Source organism: Homo sapiens, chromosome X (genome assembly GCF_000001405.40).
Source record: "Homo sapiens chromosome X, GRCh38.p14 Primary Assembly".
NCBI classification, from domain to species: domain Eukaryota; kingdom Metazoa; phylum Chordata; class Mammalia; order Primates; family Hominidae; genus Homo; species Homo sapiens.
The window spans coordinates 90,214,114-90,241,889 of record NC_000023.11 but is presented as its reverse complement, the minus strand read 5'-3'; the positions used below and the strand labels follow the sequence as shown (position 1 = coordinate 90,241,889).

The 27,776-nt window shown below is 38.0% G+C and overlaps 1 long non-coding RNA gene across 2 annotated transcripts in view; it reads right to left on the bottom strand.

Annotated features, from left to right (window-relative positions):
* Positions 1-7,384, bottom strand: part of LOC105373292 (uncharacterized) — a 32,993-nt gene extending 25,609 nt beyond the window's left edge. The window contains exons 1-3 of one of the 2 annotated variants that reach the window (XR_938463.2): positions 7,259-7,382; positions 6,715-6,826; positions 1,567-1,622 (exon numbers count right to left, since the gene is read on the bottom strand). This is a non-coding gene — a long non-coding RNA (uncharacterized LOC105373292). Of the gene's footprint in view, positions 1-1,566; positions 1,623-6,714; positions 6,827-7,258 lie in introns of those variants that run through there. The other variant, XR_938464.3, reaches the window with a different exon arrangement.
* Positions 7,385-27,776: the final 20,392 nt, after the last annotated feature.

Below are 27,776 nucleotides of genomic sequence, written 5' to 3'. Positions count from 1 at the left end.
TATGTGCACCCATGCCACTCTCCTGAGAGAAAAGCCCCAGCTATGTCTTCAGTAGTGGAAAAGGGGGGAAATATTTCCTCTTCTCCAAGACCCTTCATGAGCACCAGGGCTTCCTGACTGTTGGAGTAGAACTGCAGACTTTCCCTGCTGAGCCCATTACTGCAACTGTGCCTCTGCTGAAAAAAACATTCCACAAGTGGAAAAATCTGGGACTGAAGGCCTGCTATCCAGATACTTTTGTCCCGTAGTGTTCCCTTTACGTGACGTACTACCCCTTGCCCTAGTAGTAGGAGTCCCTGAGAGCCAGAATGTGAATGTTGTTGCTCTTCTGGGCCTAGCTGCCTAATGGGTCTGCCACACTCTAGGCTGGTGCTGGGAAATGTCTGCAAGGGATTCAGAGATGTGACCTGTCCTCAAGTCTCCCAGTATCAAGTACCAGCACCAGTTCTGATGCAGGCGGCAGGGGAGTAATGTAGACTCGTTGAGATTCTTTGGCTATGGATAGTGTTAGTGTGTTGGCTTTCTCAAATGCCAGTTGTAGCATAAATAAACTGATCACGTAGATAGTATCAGGACTTCCTGGTTAGTCATGTTGGTGCAGGCAATGGTGATAGCTGATATCATGTACAAATTTTCTCCTTCCGGGGTGCAGTGTTATCTACCCGAAAGTGCTGTAATGGACTGTGTTGGTTGGCCTCCAGCTAGGAGGTCGTGCTTGCAAAGGAGCATCAGCTGCAGTAGTAGTGATGAGATTTGTGTTTGCCTTATGTTACCCAAAGGAGGTACTCTGGTTTCTCAGGTGATGGGTGGGGACATAAAGCTCCCAAAAGTTCCTGTCTTTTGTGTTAGGCTATCAGTGTGGGTAGAGGAGCAAAATCAGGTGTGGGCTGGGTCAGACAGATCCATGCTCTGACTCTCCATATGTAGGGCAATCTGCAGCCACTGTGGGAGTTGAGGGACAGTTACCTCACCACTGATGTAATGTACCAGAGTGGAGAAAAGCTGCCTCTACTGCACAGAATAGTTTGTGCAAGAAGTGGGGCACAGCAGACATCAGTAAGCCCCACCCAGATCCCATGCACTTGGCAAGGTAGGTCTCACACCTGTAGATTTCTGCTAACAGCAGTGAGCTAAATTCCAGGACGTCTATATTCAGAACTAAGACTGCCCCAGACCAGAAGCCTCCCTGGGAAATAGCTATTTCACAAAATTCAGGTAGGAGCTTCTTTCAACTTGCAAATGTTGCCTGAGTTAATTGGGTGACTTCCACAAGGTCCCACACAAGGCTCTTCCCATTCCTCACTGCTCCCTAAATCAGTACCAGCTCTGTGTAGCGTTCAGGCTTTTCCTGAGGCCTGGATTTCCAGGTTCCCTGGTGGGAGGGTATATCCTGAAGCACTCTCTTTCCCTCTCACATTCTGGGAACTTAAAACAGTTTTTTGCCTGCCTCACAATGTAGGCTGCAGCATGCAGCTTCTTTCAGAGAATTGGTGGATTTCAGTTTTCCTGTTAAGTTTCTGCATTTCTTCTTGGAAATAGAGTTCACAGTGTGAATAACTATACACTATTTTGTCTTTCCAAGTGGGAGAGTCTTGCTAACACTGACTCCAATTTGCTATCATCTTGGAAAAACAAAATAAAATACAATAAAATAATAACAATAACGAACACATATGTAAACTTGCATTGTGATTAGGATGATCAATTTACATGATAACTGTAAGAGAAACAATTATACATAAAACTATTATATATAATTGCTCAGCAGCTTGTGGGAATGAATGCCTTTTATAAGAAATTTTATCCATTCAGAATATTTGCGCCATTTTAAATATGAACTGATGCATGTAAGTATTGATAATATAGGGAAATCTATTTAAAATGATGATATAAATGCTTCATGGTGATTTAAATTTTTACATGTATATGTAACTGAATGGGGGAAATTTTGCCATTTCTATTATAATCCAATGTTTTTACTGATTTCTTAAAAAACGAATGTCTCAGAAATAGCACACTAAAATGTATTTCTGATATTAGTACTTTCTAAAACAGAACAGAAAATTTTTCAAAGCACATTATATATCTATATGCGCAATCAGAATTTGAATTTGTTAAAAGTAATTAGGTTGGTATAATTTCCTTTGAAAACCTAGTATTTTTCTATTTGAAAGAAACAAACAAGTTTAAAAAGTTGAAAAGCTCTTTCCATAAAATCAAAGAAACAAACAGAAGACCCTGTCTAAACGTTGAAATACAACAGGGGTAACATTCTCTGGAGTGAGACCTGCTTTATTGTTGCCATTGAGATTGTGCTCAGAAGGATTTGGTTGGAGATGGAATTTACATCTAGAAATTGTGCCTGCTGATAATCTTGAATAATTTTATTGGCTTGCTTCTCTTCGGAAAGATAAGTCCTCCAGTTGGCTACTTATGACACAGCTAAATTTGAACTTTTCCAGAGAATCTCTTTAATAAAGACATGAACTAATTACTGTGGAAATTAGGCTGAAGTAAAAATCCTACATGTGTAATGAAGAAGGATTTAGTAATTATTTTTATCCTCACGTTTAATAACGTATCAGGGCAGAGTATTATGAATCTCAATGTTACAGTATGATGTGTCATAGAAAATAACTTTTTAAAAATTATGATGTTTAAAACAAATTCTATCAGTGATAGCTTCTTTTCCTGATCTGACACTGTATATTAAAAAAAAAAATCTATGACTGCCTCTGATTAAGATGAAAGTATACTTTATACTTGTATCTCTTTGGACAGTGAAAAGCAAAGTATTGCTCTGCAAGGTGTCTGGGATTCAAAACTATGCCACAAAATTGATCAACCAAAAAATAAAAAATGCAATTGTTTTCAACATTAACATAAGGACTATATTGTTAGAATCATTAGCAAAATTTTGAAACAATTTAATTTAGTTGCATATAATAAACCAGGGTATGGATGTGTACGTCTCAGTGGTCTTAACCTTTCTACATACCCAGTAACGTACAGGTTTGTTGCAAAACATTCATTACTTTTTCATTGAAATTCAGACTGCCTCCATGTCTAATGTAGGATATTTGTCGTCAGTCTGGCCTAGAAAGGCAGTATATAAAGTAGAAAACATGATCTAACCAGATATTTTGAAAAAATAAGACAAATATATCAAAGTCAGATCATTCAGTCATGAAATAAGTATCTTTGTTCAAATAGATCATGAAATTAATCTACATGACTTGATTTTCACACCAAAAAAAGGCAATTTGGGAAAATAAGCTCAAGTATAATAGTTATAAGATGAGTGACTCTGAGTTATTAATTTGTATTAAGCCCGGGGCTCTGGAAATTATTGTATTTAGACTATTTTGTGATGATATTAACTTTTGTCCTGTTTAGTTTTCTGCAAGGAAGGTGGAGCATCAACAGCAAAACACAGAGAAAGAAGCTTCCCTTTCTAAAATCCGTGGTGTCTCTCTTTCTAAAATATAGTATATAATTCTTTTTCATTTTTACTCTTGTTTCCTCAATAAGATAAGCATATTAGAGCTGAAAAGCCTTCCAGAAGAGCAATAAAAAAGGATGAAATATTGGCTGGTGCGGTGGCTCATGCCAGTAATCCTAGCATTTTGAGAGGCCAAGGCTGGCAGATCGCATGAGCCCAGGAGTTTGAGAACCGCCTGGGCAACATAGTGAAACCCCATCTCTATGAATAAATACAAAAAATTAGCCAGGTGTGGTGGCGCATGCCCCTAGTCCTAGCTACTTTGAAGGCTGAGGTGAGAAAATCACTTGATCCTGGGTGGCAGAGACTCCTATTCTGAAGTAACTAATTTTAAGACAAATGAGAAGGATGAAATTGCTGGCAATAATTTGTCATGAATAGACTAACTGATTTTCCCCAAAGAGTGAAACAGGATGAAAGTACCAATAAATTTCAACAGAAAATTCACAAATGGTAAATATACAGTAAATTGTTAAGAAAACTTAATTTATAAGATAAAAACTTTTATTCTTATAAAAAATGAAATATCATTGTTAATTTATTTTCAAAATTTAGAAAAGCATATTGAAATAAAATATCAATATGACTTGATTTTGACACCAAAAAAGGAAATTGAGGATAATAAGCTCAAGTATAATTAGTTATAACATGATTGAGTTATTAATTCGTATCAAGCTCTGAAAATTATTGTATCTAGACTATTTTGTGATGATATTAACTTTTGTCCTGTTTGTCATTCTCCAAAAAAACACATTATGAATGTTTTATGCTGTATTCTTCTATTTTATTTATTTTACACTTTGTTTCATTTATCAAGCAAATATTTATTGAGTGTTTACCACGTGCCAGACACTAAGATACAATGTTGAGCAAAAACAGTTTGATTCCTGCTCTCAGGGAACTTGTAGGTTAAAGGCAGTGACTGGTATTAATCAAATAATTAAAGCAACAAATTAATGAGCTTCAACTAGGCTGAACATAGGAAAACCAGGCACAAGTCTATTGCTATAACCCTAGTAAGAAAAAGGCTTAGTTTGTGTTGGTAGTAGACATGGAGAGAGGTGGAAGAATTTGTGAGCTTTGTGGTCAGTAATATTTCTTTGCATAGTCCATTAACTATGGGTGTATAATGCATTAAGAATTGGGATTATTGGTATTATAATTATACATATATTATACAATGGTTTAAGATTTTAAGGAAATTTCCCCCTTCTTGAAGCTTTGTGTAATTACCCTAATGTAGCCAGGCCTACAGTAATAAGAGTGTTTTAAAATATATGTAGCATAAAAATCATAATTCCCTGTGAATTTATATACCTAGTAATAACCTAATTTTTAAATTATCATCACTAATTTAGAAAGTGTTTCATAAAGTTACTCTCCCAAATGTGTCTTGGTGTGCCTAGTTGCAAGACATCATCAATTTGAAAAATTTGGCAATTAGAAATCAAGATTAATAATTAACAAACGTATTATATAACATTCCCAATTCACAGTGCATTCTAACTTGTGAAATATTTCATAAAATGAATAATATTTTTGAGTTAAAGAACCCCAACACTTTTGTTATGAAATATCTCTTTCCTCTTCATTCTTGTTTCTTTGAAATGAAACAGCAAATAATAGTTTTCAAGATAATTTTTCACTAAAAATCAAACATTTCCTGACATTTTATATGACCTTTATCAAAAAAAATATAACCCAGAAATCACTGAAAAGTGCAATATGTATATATTACAAAGATGTATTTTAGCCAAAATGTTACCACAATAAAAGGCATTGCTGTTTGAACTTTGAATTTTCAAACTTTTTTCAATAAACTTGAGAGACAAATATATTAAAGAGATTAAAATTCTTGGAGTACTTTACAAATATTATTTATCTATAGTGTTCTCATTTCAACATGGATCTAGTTAATTTTACTATTCTCAGAGTGATTTTAGAAAATGACAGCAATTTTTTTCTCATTTTGATATGAATATATTCATATTCATTTGATATGAAAAATGTTTCTTAAAATATATCATGACAAAAATTATTAATTATGTCATTTATCTTATAGTTAATTTGATGAACAATGTCATTAGATTTTCCACCACAAAAAAAAATTCATCCTAGGTATTAAAGTATCTTTTATTGTTGTTTTATATATTTTTTGAGATAGGGTGTCTCTCTTTCACCCATGCTGGAGTGCAGTGTTGTAATAATGGCAATCAAATGATCCTTCTGTTCAGTCTCCTGAGTAGTTGGCAGTACAAACATGTGTCACACTATGCCCAGCTAATAATTAAAAAAATTGTAAAGACTGTGTCTCACTATGTTGCTCAAGCTGGTAAAGTATCTTTTGAAATAGAGTCTATACAAGGTCAATTGTTACATAGTATTTGATTTATCCTGTCCTTCTCTACCCAAAATACAAGCATATTTTAATTTCTGAATTGTTTATAAGGCAACAGAGATAGTGTTATGATAAACCAAGGTAGGAACTGACATTTGCCTCCCTCAAGAGAAGTTTAAATTATAAATCAGTATTTTATCACTGGCATATAGTTTGATCACAGGATAAAAGTGAACAATGAATGTGTTTTCTGGCCATTAAAAACCCATCACATACTAAAATTTGTTTAGTGAGAAAAAGTGTAATTCAATAAAACATTAATTTGAAAATAAGAGTTCTTAATCAAAGAACTAGTTATTAAAGATGTTTTAAGGAATGACGTCAAGGAATATTTTCAAACTAGTTAATGTAGTGGGTATAGATGTTTACACATTCCACTGGCAATAGCTATCATTGCTATTGCAATGTTCCATACTATGCAATGCTAATGCAGTGTTCCATACTATGGGATTTACCTGGCTGAGGAATTTGGGATTTAAGTCTATTTGATGTGGAGTGTCTGAGGAGGGGTTTTGTTCTTGACATAATAATAAGTAAGGGTGGCTTTGATGTAGGGCTAATAAATAAATTATTCCCCCTAGTTTGTGTAGGATGTTCCTTCTTAGTAAAGGAGTGGGACAATGGGGAATGACCAAGAAAGAGTGAGTGAAGGTGACTACCTCAAATGAGCAGTATAGTGGTGGTGTTTTGTATGGGGTTACTTGTATGTCCTTCATGCCAACAACAGAAACAGATGAATGTCCTAATGGGCCTTGATTTTCAGTTAATACTGATAGACTCGCCCCAGTATCCAAAAAGAAGGAAATAATCTTACCAGATACCATCCCAGTTACCCTGGGTTCCGTGGACTCACTGGATGTGGGGGTGAAGGATCCCGGGCACCCTCAGTCTTCCATTGTCAGTGCCAGCAGTGAAGAGATTTCCTCCTGTAATGGTGAGGGGGCCTCATTATGAGCCTCACCCAAACAGGAGGGTGTCCTCTCTGGTTGGGGGGAGGTTATCTTAGGGTTGGAATGTTTCTGGTTGGAGATGTAATTTGTGGTTTATGGTCATGCTGACCTCAGCTATTAGGCTGATGCCCTTTGGATTTAGGCAGTTTTTGATCAAGGGGAACTTTAAAATGGTGGTGCTTGTACAAGATGGCAATGCTCCTGCTCTGTCAAACATAATTTTAACAGCTGAAATAAAAGGGAATAGAAGGCTGAGTGCAGTGGCTTACACCTGTAATCTCAGCAATTTGGGAGGCCAAGGAAGGAGAATCGCTTGAACCCAAGAGTTTGAAACCAGCCTGGGAAACATAGTAAGACCTCATCTCTACAAAAATTTAAAAAAAAATAGCATGGCATGGTGGTGCATACCTGTGGTCCCAGCTACTTGGGAGGCTGAGGTGGGAAGACAACTTGAACCTGGAAGGTGAAAGCTGCAGCGAGCTGTGAATATGCCACTGAACTCCAGCCTGGGTGATGGAGCAAGACCCTGTCTCTAAGAAAACAGACAAAAAAACAAACAAATTAAATACAAAAAGAGGACCTTAATGATATAAATAATAAAATTACACAAAGACAACTTTCCAATTGTTAATGAGTCAATTTTTTTAAATATGCCCATATAGAAGGAATATTTTATAGTAGCCCATTTTAAGACATGATAAATTGAACACTAAATGCACATGCTTCGTAAACAGACTTGATTATGAGTCCTGATGCCATGTTTGTCTTAAATGAAATTAGAAACCTGTGGTGAGGTATTTTAAATCTTATATATGTGATGATACTCCCTTGAGGAAAAAAAAATATTGCAGATACTTCAGAGTTGAGAATGAGAGACAAGGGTGCCCCAGTGAAGACATGACTTCCTTTTCTCTGCTCTAGATTTTTAATGCTATACTTTCTTAGATGGAATCTCTCATTGCAGACTGAAATAGATGCTAGGTTGTTAGAATAAATGCATAGGTACTCAGAAACCTGGTACAGTGGTGGCATTAATGATTTTTGAATATGGACCATTCTTTGCCTTCAATTACCTCTCCTATTTAGTCTGATAAATTAAGATTATCATATTCTCTTTTGGAGTAAATTTCTAAGTTACTTACAGGTACCTATTGACACATATTTGTGTTACTTCAATGAGAGAGTACATTTATTCATTGACAATCATAAACCTACAACCTAGATTGATTTATCAAATCACAATATTCAACAAAGAACCATGTCCTGAGGAAAAGAGGATCAAGACAAGTGGTAAAAAAGAAAAACCAAAGAAAAGCCATTAGCTCAAGCCGTCATTGAAACCTTTTGAATTGACGACAGCTCAAGATGACTGTTCTGGGTGGAGCAAGATCATTAAAAATTCATAAACTTGATCAAAAAAGGTTAGAGTTGAGTTTAAATTTGAGAATTGGTCATTGACCAAATTCATGGAAAGTATGGGAAAACTGAGGCTATAGTAATAATAGCACAGGCAGGAGGAACAATGAGACTAGGCTTTTAGTTTTAGAAGCCATGAGTTGGTCAATTGGATTTGACAAGAGGGATGGGGAAGACACTTGGAACTCCATGAAAAACTTTTAGTCCTGCCGTATTTTCACAAAGGCAAGTTTGGATAGCTAAGAAGAAAATACAAGTGAAACTTAAATGGACTGCTGTGGGAAGGTAGGTCTGCGAAGAGTGAAATGTGGCCTCTGCAAACTTAGAGGTCAGCACAAGAATACTGGATTTCTGGGTTGAGGGCTCTACAGGAAGAATGCTGAGAAAGACAGTAAAAGCAAACAGAAACAGAAACAGACACAGACCAAATACATATTTTATTCTGAGTATCTTTCTCCGTTTAAACAGATTTCTCTTTTGTCTCTCTTCCTATTATCTGCTTTAAAAAAGCTCTAGATGAGGCTGAGACTAAAACACCTGGGTTAATTCCAGAGAAGGAGCTCAGATGTAGGCTTTGAATGTATTCAAACTAGAGCCACAGTTAGATTTTTAGAATAGCTTTTTGGAAAAGACAATGTGCATTTAGGTTTGTGCTTTGCTGCAATCTCCTATAACATGTTTCAATTAGTCGGTCAAAGATTTTTACCACAAATGTTAGTACTAGACACTGTAGAGTTAACAAAGAATTGACTCTGAAGGAAGGAAAAGATAAGACCTCTAATCTGGCCTTTCTATATCTCCAAATACCTTAGAGATTTTTGGACTTCAGCCTTCTGTTATATGTATTGCTACCAAATCTCAGCAGAATTTTTTTTCTTCAGTACTTTAAGGTTAAAGCCTGTAGCAACTTTTATTCAGTTGTCACCTTTGACCTGTTTCTTAGTGTCCTCATTTTTTCATCCATCACTGATTCCTGGAGTGTTTTCTGAATAAGAGGAAGAGCCCCAGGGATACACACTGTCAGGATATTAGGCTATGTATAGTATCCTTTTCTATATCCCTCTTACATGTTTAACATATAATACAGAGGGCTAGATGAGTTCACTGAGGCATTCCTGTGATTCACAACAGCAGGCACAATTCACAGGCTCTGTCTGAAGTCTCTGGGCTTGGAAACGATCATTTGGACAGGTTTTCCTGAAGATAATTGAAAGTAAATACATTTATTACTAAACCTCCTTGATTCACTTAATTATGCACTAATGATGTGAAATGGCCTTTTAAAGAGGGTTGGGGATCCCTTTTGCAGTGTTGTAGCTTATTGTGCAATTTACCTCCTCACTCAGAACTAGCATCTTTCTCTTTGGGATCGTCTATATTCACTACAAAATCTGAGTGTGTTAAACAGATTATTACACCTACTAAAAACTTTTCCGAATGTGGACTAGAAGAAAATATAAATAATGAGTTCATTATAACAACCTTAATGGAGCTATTTTAAGGTCAGGGAGCAGACACCCAAGCAAAGTTCACTGATTTATAAATCTTCCGAATTTAAGTAACGTATTTCCACCCAAATAAATGTCTTACATTGACCTAGTAGCTGTTAAATCTATTGTTGTTAATAAATTCTGTAATATACAAATTACCTCCCAATGTGCTTCATACTCCCATGGAATATAAGATATAATTAACCTTGTATGTTCACTTTAAAAGTAATGTAGTATCAAGATAGATTTGATGATAGCTTTAATAATATCATATTATGGACAAACAATATATTTGCATTTATTGTAAGTTACAGAATATATATTAATCAGAGTTAGACTATGTAATAGGTCTATTTTTTCACTAAATATATCCATGTTTTCAAGTACACGTTATACTATAGTATACAAAAACATCCTCACAATCTATCTTTAATAAATCATTCATGAAATTGGAAGGATAACATGACTACGTAATGACAGGACAGTTGGTCAATGTAAAGCATGGATTTGGGCCAGAAAATCTAAACAGCTATTCTTTGCAAAGAAAGACCACAGGGAAGCTGTAATACACCTAAAGATAAAAACAGTGAGATGAGGAAGCAATGTCAGCTCTCCATTTTCTTTACACTCTTGCTATGCCCAGCCAGTCATAGCATGAGTAGAATGCTTACCAAAACCATCTAAAGAAGCTTCCAAAAATAGGATTTACCTATGCTCTGGGCCAGACTCAGGCAGTTGGTTGGACGCTTTGGCTTACTTGAGTCCTCAGATTCTTGGCCTTCTCAGAACTCTATGCACAAGGTTACTATAGCAATAAGAAACACCTTTATTCTCTCACCATCAAATCCACGAACCTATGAACATCTGTATTTTTCTACTCTCTAGCATTCTTTCTTCATATGTCTTTGAGATGTGAAGCTTTTTGGATGATGGTAACCTTGCACGTCTTCCTTTCTCATTCCCATAACAGAGTTGCAGCAAATATCTAGCTCAAAATAATGACTTCTCCATCCCCTACCAGGTTGAGGATATAAAATTTAGTTCACATCTCAGCTTGACACCACTGTGTTACAATCTCCAGCTCAATATCAACATGACAAATAAACCTAAGAATGGTGAAACAGGGAAGAGACATGATATGAAATTCAATACATTATTGTCCAAATACAAACCCTACCACTTGCTAGCCACTCGCTAGCTCTATGGCCTTGGGAAAATCCCTTCACTTCTTTCAGGCCTAGTTTTCTTATCTATAAACTGGACATCATAAAATCTAAGTTTTTTTTCAAGTATAACATTCTCTAACTTTTTAAACTACCTTAGTTGGAAATCTGAATATAATTGATAGATAATCTGCATGGCAAGCATAAGACATAGAGACCAAGAAAGGCCAAGATATCACAAAAACCTCCTCAATATTAAGCACTTTAGTGGGTATGGTGGGTGGGAGAAGTAAAAAATTATCGGCACCTGGAATAGACAAGATGGGCTTCTAGAAATATAAAAAATAAAATAGGTTTTGACGTAACTATATTTGTATCACTAGACAAAAAGAAGAAACGTCTGCTAAATGAGGTAAAGCAAAGACCAGCAGGTTGAAATAAATATATTATATTGGATACAAATTAAGTGGAATGGGTCCATTGAAACAGAAGGTTAATATTTGGTAGTAGTTAAGAATCAGTCTTATTCTAGGTGTTGACTTAATAACTAATCAACTCTCAATCAGTGAGAAAAATAATCAGAGGAACCATGTGACACAATGAAAGAAAAAATATCTTTTTCTAATAGTTGCTACCCCAAATTCCATCCAGATAGGGCATTAGCCTTCTCAAAAGTCCTTACTGATACATTCCTTGAACATGTATTGTCTACTATGTGCCAGGCACTCTGATAATTACTGGAGAATGTTTTCAGTTTCGCTTGTGAGGAACACAGAGGAAAAGCAAATAAATTATATGAAAGAGATGTTATTACGTATCAGTAGAAAAGTATTCATTATTTAATATAGTGTGAGTCTATCACAAGATGAAGTCCCACGATAAGCCATCTGCAAGCTAAGGAGCAAGGAAGCCAATCCGGGTCCCAAAATTTCAAAAGTAGGGAATCTGACAGTGCAGCCTTCAGTCCATGGCTAAAGGTCCGAGAGCCCCTGGAAAACCACTGGTGTAAGCCCAAGAATCAAAAAGCTGAAGAACTTGGAGTCCTACATTTGAGCGCAGGAAGCATCCAACATGGGAGGAAGATGAAGGTAGGAAGACTGAGCCAGTCTGGTCCTTCTACATTCCTCTGCCTCCTTTTATCCTAGCTGCACTGGCAGCTGATTAGATGGTGCCCACCCAGACTGAGGGTGTGTCTGCCTCTCCCAGTACACTGACTCAAATGTTAGTCTCCTTTGGCAACACCCTCACAGACATACCCAGGAACAATCCTTTGCATCCTTCAATCTAATCAAGTTGACACTCAGTGTTAACCATCACAATAACTAATAATCTCATGATAAAAAATCCAAAGCTTTCTTCATCACAAAATTCACAGACATAAATTTCCATAGATTTAAAAGCAAATCATAAAAAGACTTTTTAAGTCTTAGAAAAAATACTTTTTTACCTCAGGGTAGAAAAAGATTAACTTAAACACAAAAAACACAAGTCATAAAGTGCTGATAAATTCTGAATGGCAAAATGTAGGATAAGCAGATATGAACCACAATCTGGAATAAGATATTTGAAATGTATACCAGAAAATAATATTAGCAAACATATTAACGAACTTCAAGATATCAATAAAAAGAAACCTCAAACAAAAATTGTCAAATATATGACCAAGCACTTCATAGAAGAGGAAATCAAAATGGACCAGAAACATGAGCATGCTCAAAATTACCAATAATTAGGTAAATGCAGATTAATACAAAATTATTTACAATTTCACAACCATCAAACTGACAAAAATATTAAAAAATGGATCATACTTAGAGTTAATGACAATATGGAGAATTAGAAACTTTCACTCACAGTTGCTGGAAGTGTGATTAGAACAACACTCTTGATATGAAATTGAGAACTATCAGGGGGATTAAAATTGCATATAATTTACAACTATTTCTACTCTCAGTGACATACAGTGCAGAATTTCATACATACATAAAAGGAGATATATACGAATGTTTGTTATATGGCAACAAATACGGCCATATTACTAGTTTTTCAAAGAATGAAAAATTACAATTAACATCTTCAGAAGCTCAGGTGAGCCAGGAATGAGCTAAGCTATCAGGCAGTGGAGTAGACAATTAAAGCAAGTCAATAATGAAACAGTTTATGCTTGATCACTTACTGCAATGTACAGACAAGAGAGGAAACTGGAGAAACTTGGATTTCTCTTATGGACAGTTGCACTGGTTGAGGCTCAGCAAAGATAAAGGGGTCCTCTCCCTGCTGAGGGAGCCCGAAACAGAAAGCCCCTGCAGTTTTATGAACCCAGGGCCAGAGGCAAGCAGAAGGAGAAGGGTTAAGAGTGTAAACATACTGGGACTAAGTCAGAGTGGAGAGAAGTCTCTTCAAAGTTTCCCCCTGTCAAAATTAAACATAGACAAACATTGGATAAAAACAGGTTTTATTCAGTAATTACTGACTGTAGGGGAAAGAACTGAGCTCCATTCCCATTTGTGGAAACATGCCTGAACATTTTCAAGGGAGCGTGAAGGAGGAGGGACTCTGGGCACTCAGTAGAGTCAAAAAAGCGAAAATGTACGAAGGGTTGGTTAATGTAAACATGATTAGGCCAGCTGTGTCTGCTTGCTGGAAGTTATGGAAGTTAGGATGCTATACTCTCACAGAGACTAGGAGAGAGGCCTTATCCTTCTTGTTGATTACATTTCAATGGAATGGCTCTTGTGTCCTTGAGAAAGATCATTCTGAGTTGCAAGAAATACATGTTCACAATTGTAAGCCCTTTTTAGAAAATGCTCTAAGAAAGGGAGGTCCAGGGTCTATCATCAGGTGCTGACTAGAACAAATAATAAATTTCCTTTGTAGCCTTAAGTTTTCCCAGGCAGGCATATAAATAGGGGGCTGGGATAAACTTAGGGACACAGCCTTAGGCTGTTAGATGCCATAGCAGAATTTGGTCAAGTCTCTTAGTGCAGGGATTTGGATGGAGTTGTTATGTGACAATAGTCCTGTAGTTCTTATCTCTCATTCCCCCCATTGGGAGGCATTGGAAAAAATGCCTGAAAAGGGTCTCAGATAACCAGACCTAGGAATAAAGATATTGGGGCTACAGTGTTTGTTAGGAGTGTCTGAAGTGGGAGGGACAGTGTCATAATATTTATGAGGTTTTAGGGTTTGGTTTAAGATGATTTCTTCAATGTGAGGGCTTGATTAGGATTAGGTAATGATTATGTAATAGTTATGAGTTAGGAGACACTGTAAGATGAGAATTTTCATCTCAGAGATTGAAAGAGGGTACTATTATTTGATGTTATCCATTGAAAAACTGAGCCGTTTCCAGTGAGTTTGGGGAAAGTTCTTGAAAGTAACAATAAAGTTATTTACAACTCTTCTCTTCCTGGGAAAAAGTTAAAATAGTAAAGTAATGTTAGTGAAACCAGCCTAAAAATATAGACATATTAATGTGGACGGTAAGCTATATGTGTTTTGGTTCTCAACTACAAATGTGTGGTACTACCTCAAGTTCCCTTTAATAATATATTATGATTAGACTGATTTTTATTAATGGTTTTGTGATTATTTGTAAGGTTTAGAAGTTGTTATTTAAACCTTATATTTAAATCTTATATGTCCGAACATTCCCTGCATTTTTTTCTTAAATAGAAATTTTTCCATTAAATATTTCAGTTACAAGAGAGGTATTTATTTTTCTTATTTTATGTTATACTTTTTCTCATAAGGTTTATTCTATTTTATTAAGCCTTTCATTATAATTGTTGTTAAAGGTGTTTGGCAACAAGAAGGACAAAAGAGAAGTAAAGACTAATACTCTCTCAGAATTGAATTTTTCTTGTCATTCAAACTTAGTGAGAAAACAAATAAAAATACAGGCGAAATAAGTAGGCATTCAACAATCATTTAACAAATAAATAAATATGTACCTTAAAATGTGTATGATTTTTAAGAACAACCCAGTAAATGGCAGGATGCCACTTGCGGTTGATTTCATACTTGGGTTTCAGTGATCAAACCAACCCAACAACCAAATAAGAAATAGCATTACGAGTTTGGGGTAGGGGGAGTGTATTAGCCGCATTTCCATATTTCACAAATTTGAAGCTAAACATCTGCCCTATATGCGTATGCCAGGCATACCTTGTTCTGAGCAACCAAATAATATGCTCATGTCATCTTGCCCTGGCTCCCCGTCTTCCTTGTTGACTCTCCTTAGTAACAGTTTGCTTCTCAGGTTTGTGCTTTTTAAATACAAACCAACCAATCCAGAGCCCACAATCCCAACCATCTCTTTCATCAGGCTCTTATACTCGAGACCACTGTTCACCTGCCCTAAGCACCCCCATGGCCAGGCACCAGACCAATAGAGACAGTCCCTATGCCCCAGAGCCTGCTGAAAGTATTCAAACGGGCCAGTCCTCAGCCTGCTTACCATGCGTCATCTGTCATTTCCCACACAAATCACAAAAAGGCTCTTCTCACAGTCTTTCTCCCTCTGCCTCCTGACCAACTCCAGTGCTGTCCTGTGCCCCTCACTTCCATAGCTTGTCCCCTCCCTTTGAGAACTGTGAGTAATAAACTATCTCTTCAATGACAATTTCCTCCTGAACTTTTGGCCTTTCTATACCTCAGCTTTTCTATTTCACGCTCTCATTTAATTCAGGTTATGTCATATATATATATGTATATATATATGTATATATATGTATATATATATGTATATATATGTATATATATATGTATATATATGTATATATATGCATATATATGTATATATATGTATATATATATGTATATATGTATATATGTATATATATGTATATATATGTATATATATGTATATATGTATATATATGTATGTATATGTGTATATATGTATATATGTATATATATGTATATATGTGTATATATGTATATATATGTATATATATGTATATATATGTATATATATGTGTATATATGTGTATATATGTGTATATATATGTGTATATATGTATATATGTGTATATATATATGTATATATGTGTATATATGTATATATGTGTATATATGTATATATGTGTGTGTATATATGTGTATATATGTATATATATGTGCGTGTATGTATGTGTATATATGTATATATATGTGCGTGTATTTATATGTGTGTATATATATGTGTGTGTGTGTGTATATTTATATATATACTATATGTATATATATACTATATGTATATATATATACTATATGTATATATATATACTATATGTATATATATATACTATATGTATATATATATACTATATGTATATATATATATACTATATGTATATATATATATACTATATGTATATATATACTATATGTATATATATATATACTATATGTATATATATATATACTATATGTATATATATATATACTATATGTATATATATATATATACTATAGTATATATATATATATATACTATATGTGTATATATATATATATATATAGTTTTTCCTGGGTTCAGATTTAGATTTTAATTTCATCATATAACATTTCCAGATTTGACAAAAAGAATGACCACCACAAATGTAAGAAGAACCCAAGACTAGGATAAATATAATGTTTTCCCCAGGAAATAATAGTTAATATTGAATATTTATAATGTACTGGGAACTAAGTTAAAATTTTCATGTTCGTTATTTCATTTAAATCTTACTATTACTGTATGAAGTCTGATGATTACTATCAACATTTTATGGAAAAGGAAACAGAGGCTCAAGGACATTGAGTGTCTTCCTCAACATCACAAAGCTTACATGTGGCAGAATTGGTACTCAAAGCCAGACAGAGTACAGAGCCTGCACTCTTAACATTTGTACACAAAATTTTTCCTAGAATAGCAATAACCAACAAAAATCACAATGGTGATTTTATATATATATATATATATATAATATATGTAATTATGTACATATAATTATCAACATTGATTATGCTATTACTAGGCATTAGGTGATACTATACCACTGAAAAGTGATGGACCCAGGATTCAAGCTAAAGCTAGTTAACCTAAAAATGTGTGTCCTTTTAAGTATCAGTGTTATTTTTCTCATTTTGCCCCAGTAAAGCTTTCATCACTAAGAGTATTTGGGAGCCACTTTGTTGTGCTATAACAAATTTTCCTTTTTCAATAAAGAAAGATTTGTCCAAGATAGATTAAAATAACATTAATTTAAGTGATATCTAATTATAGAAGTCTCTTTCACATTTATTTCTCCAAAGAAAAGTACCAATTCCTGAGCAAATAAAAACTAATTTGACATCTGGAATCATGTTTATCAAGCTTAGCAAATCAGGGGTTCTTTTAAAACCAAAAGACGACAACTTTGAAAAAATTGTAGGCAACCAGAGGATTCAGATACTTTTTCCAAAAGATTTAGCCCTTTATTTTTATTTTTCTCCACCTTAATTGAGGTGTAATTGACAAATAAAATTTGTGTATATTTAAGGTGTGCAACTTGATGTTTTGATATTCACAATACATTGTGAATTGATTGCTATAATCAAGCTAATTAATATACCCATTAATTCACATAGATGCCTTTTGTGTGTGTGGTGAAAATACTTATCTCTTAGCAAATTTCTAGTATACAGTACATTATTACCAACTGTAATCAACATGTTGTATAATAAATCCTTAGAACTTAATCATCCTATAACTGAAAGTTTGTGCAATTTGATCAACGTCTCCCCATTTCCCCCACCTCCCAACCCCCAGTAACTACCCTTGTACTGTCTATTTTTATGAGTTTGAGTTGGTAAGATTCTACTTATAACTGACATCATGCAGTATTTGCTTTCTGTGGCTGGCTTATTTCACTAGCATTATGCCCTCCAGGTTCATCCATGTTGTCACAAAGGACAGGATTTTATTCTTTTTTATGGCTGAATAATATTCTATATATATGGTGTGGAGAAAATGAGGGGATATTGATCAAAGTGCACAAACTTTCAGTTGTAAGATGAATAGGTTCTGAGGATCTATTTTACAGCATGGTGACTGTAGCTAATATGTTGTTATATAATAACATATATGATAATAATGTAAGTATGTGTGTGTGCCACATTTTCTTTATTTATTCATCAATTGATGCACACTTAGGTTGTTTCCATGTCTTGGCTATTGAGAATAATGTTCCAAGGAACATAGGAGTACAGATATCTCTTTGACATACTGATTTTATGTCCTTTGGATATATGCCCAATGTTAGTCCTAACTGCACCATTTTGTAAGCTCCCTGCTATTTTGCAGACCTTGGTCAAAGTGAAACAATTCATGGGGGTTCGGGCCTTGATAAACCACCTGACCACAAGGTGGACAAAGGCCCAACTGAAGAAAGAGCCTGCCTCTTATCATATTCTGCTGGGAGAAAGTACAAGGAGTACCACGTTCTGCCGGAACAAGGGCCAGAACCACCTCATCATGGGGACATCTTATCAATATCCTTCCAGGCAGCAAGCCATATTGCTCAGACCCCTCCTACCCATACCTAGAAATTACCCCAGCCTGTAAGCAGCAGCGGGCACTGACATAGGCTGGTCCCCCACTTCTGTAGGTTTTATCCTGGACATAAAGCCTGCATTTGCTGTGAAGCTCTTTTTGTGTGTGTGTCTTTCTTTAACCCTCACCTTCCCTTCAAAACCTAACATTTTGGTGCTGAAACCAGGTATGAGGATTGAGTTCTAAGGTGTAAGTCTTCTCTTGTAACCTGGAAAGTAGCAAACAGCAAAAACTAGACCCGGGCCTGCTTCCTGATCCAGAGTGGACTCCCTGTTCCCAGCCCCATTCGCCTTATTCTCTCTTCTTCTCTGGCCCTGGGCTAACCTCCAGACCCTGGTCAAACTCTCCGTCCTCTTTTTCTTTCTTCCTCTTTCCAAGCAGCTCCAGCAAGGATTGATCCCATTGTTGGACATCACATCCAACACTGGTCTCCAATTAGTGGATGAGTTTCCCTTTCCTCTTTTCTGAATTCCTCTCTGTTTCTTCTGGTTCCAGAAAATCCCAGCGCTAGGTGAGAGGTCTCCCTGGTCACCAGGTGACCGCAGCCCACCTTCTCAGGGGACGCCCTCAGAAAGCTTGCCACTCCAGCTGCTCTGGCCACTCTGGCCTCCAGGGGACAGCAAAGATCTGCAGGGATGCCCTGGCTCTCCTATGTCCCTTATCCAGGGAGGAATGGGGTACTCACTCCCCTCCTCTAAATTTCTCACCCTTCCAGTCACCAGTATGGGGCAAGGCTCTTTAAAACCACCTGGAGACACCACTCTCGAATGTCTCATCTGGAACCTCCAGGCCCAGGGCTTAGAGGACTCCATTAAAACTGAACACCTTATTTACTCCTCTTACATGTCTCATCTGAATTCTCCAAGCCCAGAGCTTAGTGGACTCCTTAAAACCAAATGCCTTGCTTTCCTCTGTACTTTTCCTCTGTAATGTTGCCTAGCCCCAATGTAAATTGGACAATAATAATCAATGGCCAAAAATCAAAACATTTATTTCTAAATTCAACAAAATCTAAAAAACTTCCAATGCAATGGTAAATGATCCAAAGTGCTTTGCTTATCTCTGTTCGTGGCTCTCTATCTCTGCTAATTCTGTTAACCTTTTCAAATCCTCCTCTTCAGCAAAAAACCCACAAAAATGCCTCCTCCCCTGGACATGCCTTCCTCCTCTAATTTCAACCCGGCCAACAAACCGTGTCTCATGCCCAACCCCCTTCCGACAAAAACCAGGCACATGCTCAAAGGCCCTCCAAAGTCTTCCCTTTATAAGAGGTGACAGGGAGGAAAGCATAATCTGAAATCATGTTCCCTTCTCCCTAGCCAACCTCTCTCAGCTTGAAAAGAGACTAGGCTCCTTTTCCACGGATCCCACCTCTTACCGCAAAGAAGTTCTGCATTTCACTCAATCTTATAACCTTACCTGGCATGACATATATGTCATCCTCTCCTCCATCCTCACCCCGGAAAACAGGGAACACATCTGGATGTCCTCCCAGGTCCATGCAAACACCTTCCACCAACAAGATGCTGCCCATAACCCAGTAAGGACCCTAGGTGCCCCCAGAACTGATCCCAGTTGGGATTATCAAGCAAATTTTGCAGGCAGACAGAAACAAGACCATATGATATCTCTAGCCATATTATGCCTCTTAGTTGGCATAAATAAAGCCATTCCTGCTCTTTTCCTTTCCCACCTTTCAGAGGCCGTAACTAAATCTACCACTTTATGCCCTAATACCAATAAGGGCAGAATCTATCTCCATTTTCACTTCATTTCCCAGTAAGCCCCAAACATCAAATAAATAAATAAATATATAACTGGAGGATGGCCCTCAAATCTCCCAAAGAGACTTAATCAAAGTGACCTTTAAGGTCTTTAACAATAGAGAGGAAAAACTGAAAACCCAAAAGCTTAAAACAGACCGGGCTAAATACCAAACGCTGGCAGCTGCCAAATAACAGGGTTCCCAATGCATACAGAAATCCTCAACCTTACAACAAACTCTGCCGGAAACCTGTTTGAAGTGCAGCCAACAGGGTCACTGGGCAAAAGCCTGCTCTAATCCCAGGCCACTCTCAAAACCTTACCCCATCCATGGCATCAACGAACACTGGAAGTCGGACTGTGCTCTGCAAAACTCATCATCCCACTTCATCACCTATAACTGAAGAATGCTGGGGCCCGGAATCCACTGTCCCCACTGTCCCCACTGCCATCACCACCACGGAACCCAAGGTAACGCTGTCAGTCACTAGTAAGCCCATGTCTTTCCTATTGGATATGGGGGCTAGTTACTCAGTTTTACCAGAATATTCTGTACCCCTCCTCAGTTCTTCTATCTCTATTGTGGGAGTCAATGGAATCCCCTCTAGGCACAAACAGACTGGTCCTCTATAATGCAACCTATTCAACACCCTCTTCACCCACTCCTTCCTGGTTATCCCTCAGTGCCCTTCCCCTATCTTGGGGGTGAGACCTACTAAGTAAGTTCCAGGCCTCCAGACAATTTGCCTCCTGCAATTCTACCTTTTTTATTTTACTCTGCCACGCAGATGCTTCCCTCTCCTCCCCCTCATCCTCATTATCTGCCCTGTTAGCTTCTGTTAACCCTGAAGTGTAAAATGTTTCTAAACCCACAATAGCCACACATCACATCCCAGTCAAAATAACCCTCCAAAACCCTTCCATTTTTTTCATCAGTCTCAATATTCCCTTAACCCAGCCAGCCTCTGGGGCCTTAAACCTATCATCTGTAAACTTTTACAAGCTCAAATTCTCAAGCCTGTCAACTCTCCTCACAACACCCCTATCTTGGCTGTCAAAAAGACAGATGAGTCCTACTGCTTGGTCCAGGATCTCTGAGTTGTTAATCAGGCGGTGGTGCCAATTCATCTGGTTGTCCCCAACCCATATATTTACTCTCCCTTATTCCTCCATCTATCACACACTTCTCTGTATTAGAACCAAAGAACACTTTTTTCATTATTCCCTTAAATCTGGCACCCCAAAGCCTTTTTGCTTTCACTTGGTCAAATCCTTATACTCACATGTCCACCCAACTAACATGGACTGTACCCCCACAGGGGTTTCAGGATAGTCCCCACCTGTTCAGGCAGGCCCTCACCAAGGGCCTAGCTAAATTTCCCCTTGCCTCTAGCACCCTCCTCCAATACATCAATAACCTCCTTCTCTGTAGCCCCTCCCTTCACCTGTCCATCTTATACACCACTCAGCTTTTAAACTTCCTCCATAGTCGAGGATATCGGGTCTCACCCACAAAATTTCAGGTAGCCCAAACCCAGGTCACTTACCTTGGACTTGCCCTAACCCCTAATTCTCGGGCCATCCGAACCCAACAAAAGGAGCTAATTTGGGACATACCCCTTCCCCACACAAAGAAGCACTTCCTCTCCTTCTTGGGCCTTATGGGATACTTCTGGCTGTGGATTCCCAATTTCGACATACTGGCCAAGCTGCTCTACACAGCCTCACATAGACCCATTACAAAACCCCTTGATTCAGCTTGCCCCATCAACTACAACTGTAAAAAAAATTAAAAATGCCCTTTTTGTAGCCCCAGCACTGGGACTGCCCAACCGCACCAAGCCCTTACTCTGTATGTATATTCTAACTAAGACCTTGCTCTTGGACTACTTTGCCAAACATACAGCAATGTCCCACAAGCCACTGCATACCTCTCAAAACTACTGAATTATGTCATCCAAGGCTGGCCGCCCCGCTTAAAAATCTTGAGTGTGGCCACATTGTTTGCCTCAGAGGCACAGAAACTCACTCTCTACCAACAGCATTACTATTGCATCTTCCCATAACCTACAGGAACTCATGAGCCATCAATGCCTTCTATGCCTCCCACCATCCCGCTTACTGCAGGTACACGCCTTATTCATAGGAAACCCTCTAATCACCTTCCAGAGATGTAAAGCTCTCAACCCAGCCACCCTCTTCCCTGTAAACATCTCCAAGTCTGAGCTCTCTCACTCATAAAATCCAATGCTCTCCCACGCCATACTACCTCTCACAGGTGGAGCTAGTTGCATTAACCAAGGCCCTAACCCTAGCAAGGGAAGAAGGCTTAACATTTACACCAATTCCAAATATGCATATCACATCCTACACTCTCATGTCTTAATCTGGCAGGAAAGGGGTTTTCTAACCACAAAAGGTACCCCCACAGGAAATAACAAACTCATTTACAAGTTGCTGGAGGCGGCTAAACTCCCACCACAGGCTGCCATTTTCTATTGTAAGGAACACCAAAAGGCTACAGATGCCATAACCAAGGGAAACTTTTTAACAAATTCAGCACCCCAGCAGGCAGCCTTTAAAACCCCATTATTATTGCCCATTTTTCCCAGCATACACCCTATATATACCCAGGAGAAACAAACCTCATTTGCCCAGGCTGGTGTTGTTCAGGAAAAAATGGTTCTACCTCAATGACAAATTGTCTTGCCCAATTCCCAGAAACCTTCTGTACTTTCATATACGCACAACCATTTCCATGTGGTTTACTGCCACCTACTCCAGCTTTTAAAAACTTATATATATTCTCCCATCATGGCCGCCAATCACAAAAATATTACTAACGCGTGTTCCCTTTGCACTCAGACTTCTCCTCAAGAAGGTATCAAATCACCTCCCTTCCCCACACACCAAGCTCAAGGACACCTGCCAGGGCAGGACTGGGAAATCAACTTCACACACATGCCTCCTATAAAACGAGTCTGATACCTTCTGACAATAATAGATACATTCTCTGGATGGATAGAAACTTTTCCTACCACCACCAAAAAGGCACACACTGTCACTTCCATTCTTCTCACCCATATTATCTCCCAGTTTAAACTCCCCTCTTCCATTAGGCCAAATTTGTTTCACAGGTTAACCAACAGCTGGCGAAGGCTCTAAACATTAAATAGCGTTCCATATTCCTTATTGCCCCCAATCTTCAGGAGAAGTTAAATGGACCAATGCCCTTTTGAAACAACAACTAACCAGATTCTCTAGAGGTTAAAATGGCTGGACTTCACTTCTCCTATTGGCCCTCATGCCCTTGCAAGCCATTCCCCAAAAGCCCCTCATCCTAAGCCCATTTAAACTCATGTACAAACACTCCTTTATCCTCCAGAATCTCCCTGTCTCTTCTTCCCCTTCTGTACCAGATACTTGGCCAGCACTACACTTCACTCAACATCTAATAAGACAGTATGCAAATGTTTACTTGCCCTAGCCTGAAAGTCCATCCTCGAAATACCCCTCCCTCTCCCTACAACCAGGGGACTGGGTCTGGATCACAGACTCTTCCTCCTCCCCTCTCCAACCTAAGTGGACGGGTCCTCACCAGGTTATCCTAGCTAATCCCACAACAACAAAGCTAACATCCCTTCCACACTGGATACATCATTCCAAACTAAAAAGAGAACCAGATCCACATCCAGAAATTTCCTCCCCCGCCCCCACCAAATTATTCTCCCTCTCTCACAGGACCAACCTCTCTGCACTTCACAGAAATTCCAGAAGTTGCCAATCCAGAAGGCCTTGATCCATAACATTCTCTGCCTCTAATTTCAAATCTATTATCTCATACCTTGTTTCAGATCTTTCCTGGTATCCCTTTCCCATGTCTCTGGAGAGTCCAGTCCAATTTCTCACAATAATCTGGGAGCTATGGCTGCAGGACACATTCCAAAATTTCACTCCTACTCAAATCTCCTTTTTCTCCTTTTGTCCTCTTTGTCTGTGGGATACTGTAAGTCCCCACTCCCAACCTCTGGCAGTTGGGCCCCCTTTGTCAGCCTCACACATCCCCTCTTAAATCAGTCACACTCCCTTCTTTCTTCCAACTGTTAAATTTGTTGTCTACACAAATCCAGCAGTTCACAGCCCTTCCGGTTAACCTAACTGCATAAATCTGATCCAAAAATAAATCTGAATCTCACCTACTCAGCCAATCCATTCCCAAAACCTGTTTGTAATCTTGCTTGGCTAAACACGATTCCCCCAAATCCACCCACAGCATCACGCACAGGGCTGTCACCCTCCTTTGCCTCATGGCCTCTAAATTAAACATGTTACAAGCCGGATTCCATAAAACGCCCCTTACCAATCTCTCCCCTCTCTGCTGCAGCTGCTCTCCATGTATCCAACTCACAGACACTCTGAAAGAAATGCACAAACAATTCCCTCAACTGCAGCCTACATCATTCTGCCCTAACAGGACTGCAATGGCTATTAGTTAAAAAAGCTCTTTTATCTCTCTCTCTACAAAGCCAAACAGCCTTCACCTCCTTCTCCACCAACATTCCCTATCAGGCTCTCATAGTGGCTACCGTTGTTAACAGCTATTCAACCTAGAAAAAACAAAAAGGTTGAGACAAAAATTTTTTCCAGGATTCAACCGCCACCTTCTCATGGCTTGCTACCTTCACTTACAACTTTTGCCTGTCAACCTCCAGTCTTTTCTGGGTGACACAAACTCTTATCTTGCTTACTGGCAGGTGGGTCAGGAACGTGCACCCTGGTTTGTCAATCTCCAAACATTAACATTTTGCCAAACAACCAGCCCATCCAGGTTCCTTTAGTAACTTCTGTCTCATCTTCCTCCACATGCACTATGTGGGTTCTACATCTCATTCCTCTGGAAACAGGAATACACATCTCCTCTGCACTTGCTACCAGAATAGCAAATATATCAACCTCAACTGCCCTATATAAAAAATATCTACAGTCCTCTATAATACCCTAAAGGACATGTATAATTCCATTACGAGACTCCAAAGGCAGATAAATTTCCTTGTGGGAGTCATCTTCCAAAACCAAAGGGCCTTAAACCTGCTATCTGCTGAGAAGGGGGGGGTACATAAGTATATCTCCAAGAAGAATCTGTTTTTAGGTTAATGAATCTGGCATTGTTAACTGCACAGCCCACAGACTCCATGACGGCTGCAGAAATCCAACATCATGACACTGACTCTTAGTGGCAGGAGTCATTCCTCCTAAAGTGAATCCCCCTTTCTTAGGGCCCCTGATTTTCTTCCTCATAATAATAACAATCGGTCCATGTATAATCGCCTTCATATTCTACTTTATCTCCCAAAGGCTGAACTCCCTTGTCTAGGCAGCCACCCAAAAATAATTGATACCATCTTTCTCCTCCACCAAGTCTGGTGTCAGCACCTCCAGGAAAACAACTCTGAAGTCAGACATCCACTACTTCAAAACCCAAACCCTGATTACAGTGCCGTTATTCAGCAGGAAACAGCCAGATAACCAAAAAATGCCCCACTTTCTTTTATATTAAAGTAAAAGGCAAGAATGTTAGTCCAAACTGCACCATTTTATAAGCTCCCCATTATTTAGCAGGCCTCAGTCAAAGTGAAACATCTCACTGGGGTTCGGGCCGTGAGAAACAACCTGCCTAACCACCTGACCACAAGGTGGACAAAGGCCCAAATGAAGAAACAGCCTGCCTCTTATCATATTCTGCTGGGAGAAAGTACAAGGAGGAGCACCACATTCTGCCGGTACAAGGGCCAGAACCACCTCATCATGGGAACATCTTATCAGTATCCTGCCGGGCAGCAAGCCATACTGCCCAGACCCCTCCTGCCCATACCTAGAAATTACCCCAGCGGTGGGCACTGTCATTAGGCTGGTCCCCCACTTCTGTAGGTTTTATGCTGAACTTAAAGACTGCATTTGCTGCCGAGCCACCCTCTTTCTGTGTGTGTGTCTTTCTTTAACCCTCACCTTCCCTTCAAAACCTAACACCCAGAAGCGTGATTGCTGGATCATATGAGAGTTCTATTTTTAATTTTTGGAGAAACTTCTATGCCATTTTCCATAATGGCTATACTAATGTACAATCTCACCAACAATACATAAAGTTTCCCTTTCCTTCACATCCTCTTCAACACTTGCTATCTTTTGACTTTTTGATAATAGTCTTCCTAATAGGTATGTGGTGATATCTCATTATATTTTTCATTTACATTTTCTAATGATTAATGGTGTTTGATCAATTTTTCAGATACTGTTGACAATTTGTATGTCTTTCTTGGAGAAATATCTATTTAGATTCTATGGTTATTTTTCAAAATCAGGTTATTTCTTGTTTGCTATTCAGTCGTAACAGCTTCTTACATGTTTTGAATTTTAACCTCTTATCAGATACATAATTTGTAAATATTTCTTCTATTCTGTAGGTTGCCTTTTCATTTTGTTAACAGTTTCCTTTCCTGTGCATATATAGTCACATTCGATTATTTTTGCTTTTGTTGCCTTTGCTTTTGGTGTGATATCCAAAAGATCATTGCCAGGATTAATGTCATGAAACTTTTCCCTTGTGTTTTCTTTTAGGAGATTTAGTTTCAGGTCTTAAAGTTTAGTCTATAATCTATTTTGAGTTGATTTTTGTGTATGGTGTGAGATAATAATTCAATTTCATTGTTCTGCATGTGGATGTCATTTTCTTAACACCACTTACTGAAACTTCTATCCTTTTTCCATTGTGTATTTTTGGCACCTTCATTGAGGATTAGTTGACTGTATATGTGTGGGTTTATTTCTGGTCCTTCTATTATGTTCTGTTGGTCTATGTATCTGTTTTTTTATGTCAAAATTATGCTGTTAGGCTCACTATAGCTTTGTAATATAATTTAAAATTAAGAAGTATAATGCCGCTAGCTTTATTCTTCTTGCCCAAGATTGCTGGAGCTATTAGGGTCAAAGTACTTAATCTTATTTATTCAAATATATTAGTCTTTATGGTTTGGTTTGACCATGTGTTAATGGTTTCCCTAAGTATTTGATCCTTTTTTTTTCCTGAACTATTGTAAATTTCTAGTATCTGAAGTACTGTTTGAACTTTGAAATCTTAGTAATGCTGTTCTCTTCTCTTTCTATGTTCACTTATTTCTCATTTTTCTCTTACCTATTTCTGTCCTAATCTGTCCTTAATATTTTACCTAACACAAATCCTGAAAAGAAAATATTTCTCTTTGGATGCTTTCAATACTTTTTTTTTGCCTTTAGCTTTCAGGTGTTTAAGTAGGATGAGTCTTGGCTGGAATTTTTGTTTGGGGTTTGCTCAGATTACTGAATATGTAGGTGAAGGGGTGGCCTGCCCCTCCATACCTGTGGGTGTTTCTCATCTGGTGGGACCAGAGACTGAGAAAAGAAAGAGACACAGAGACAAAGTATAGAGAAAGAAATGTGGGCCCAGGGGACCCGCGCTCAGCATACGGAGGACCCACGCTTACACCGGATCTCTGAGTTCC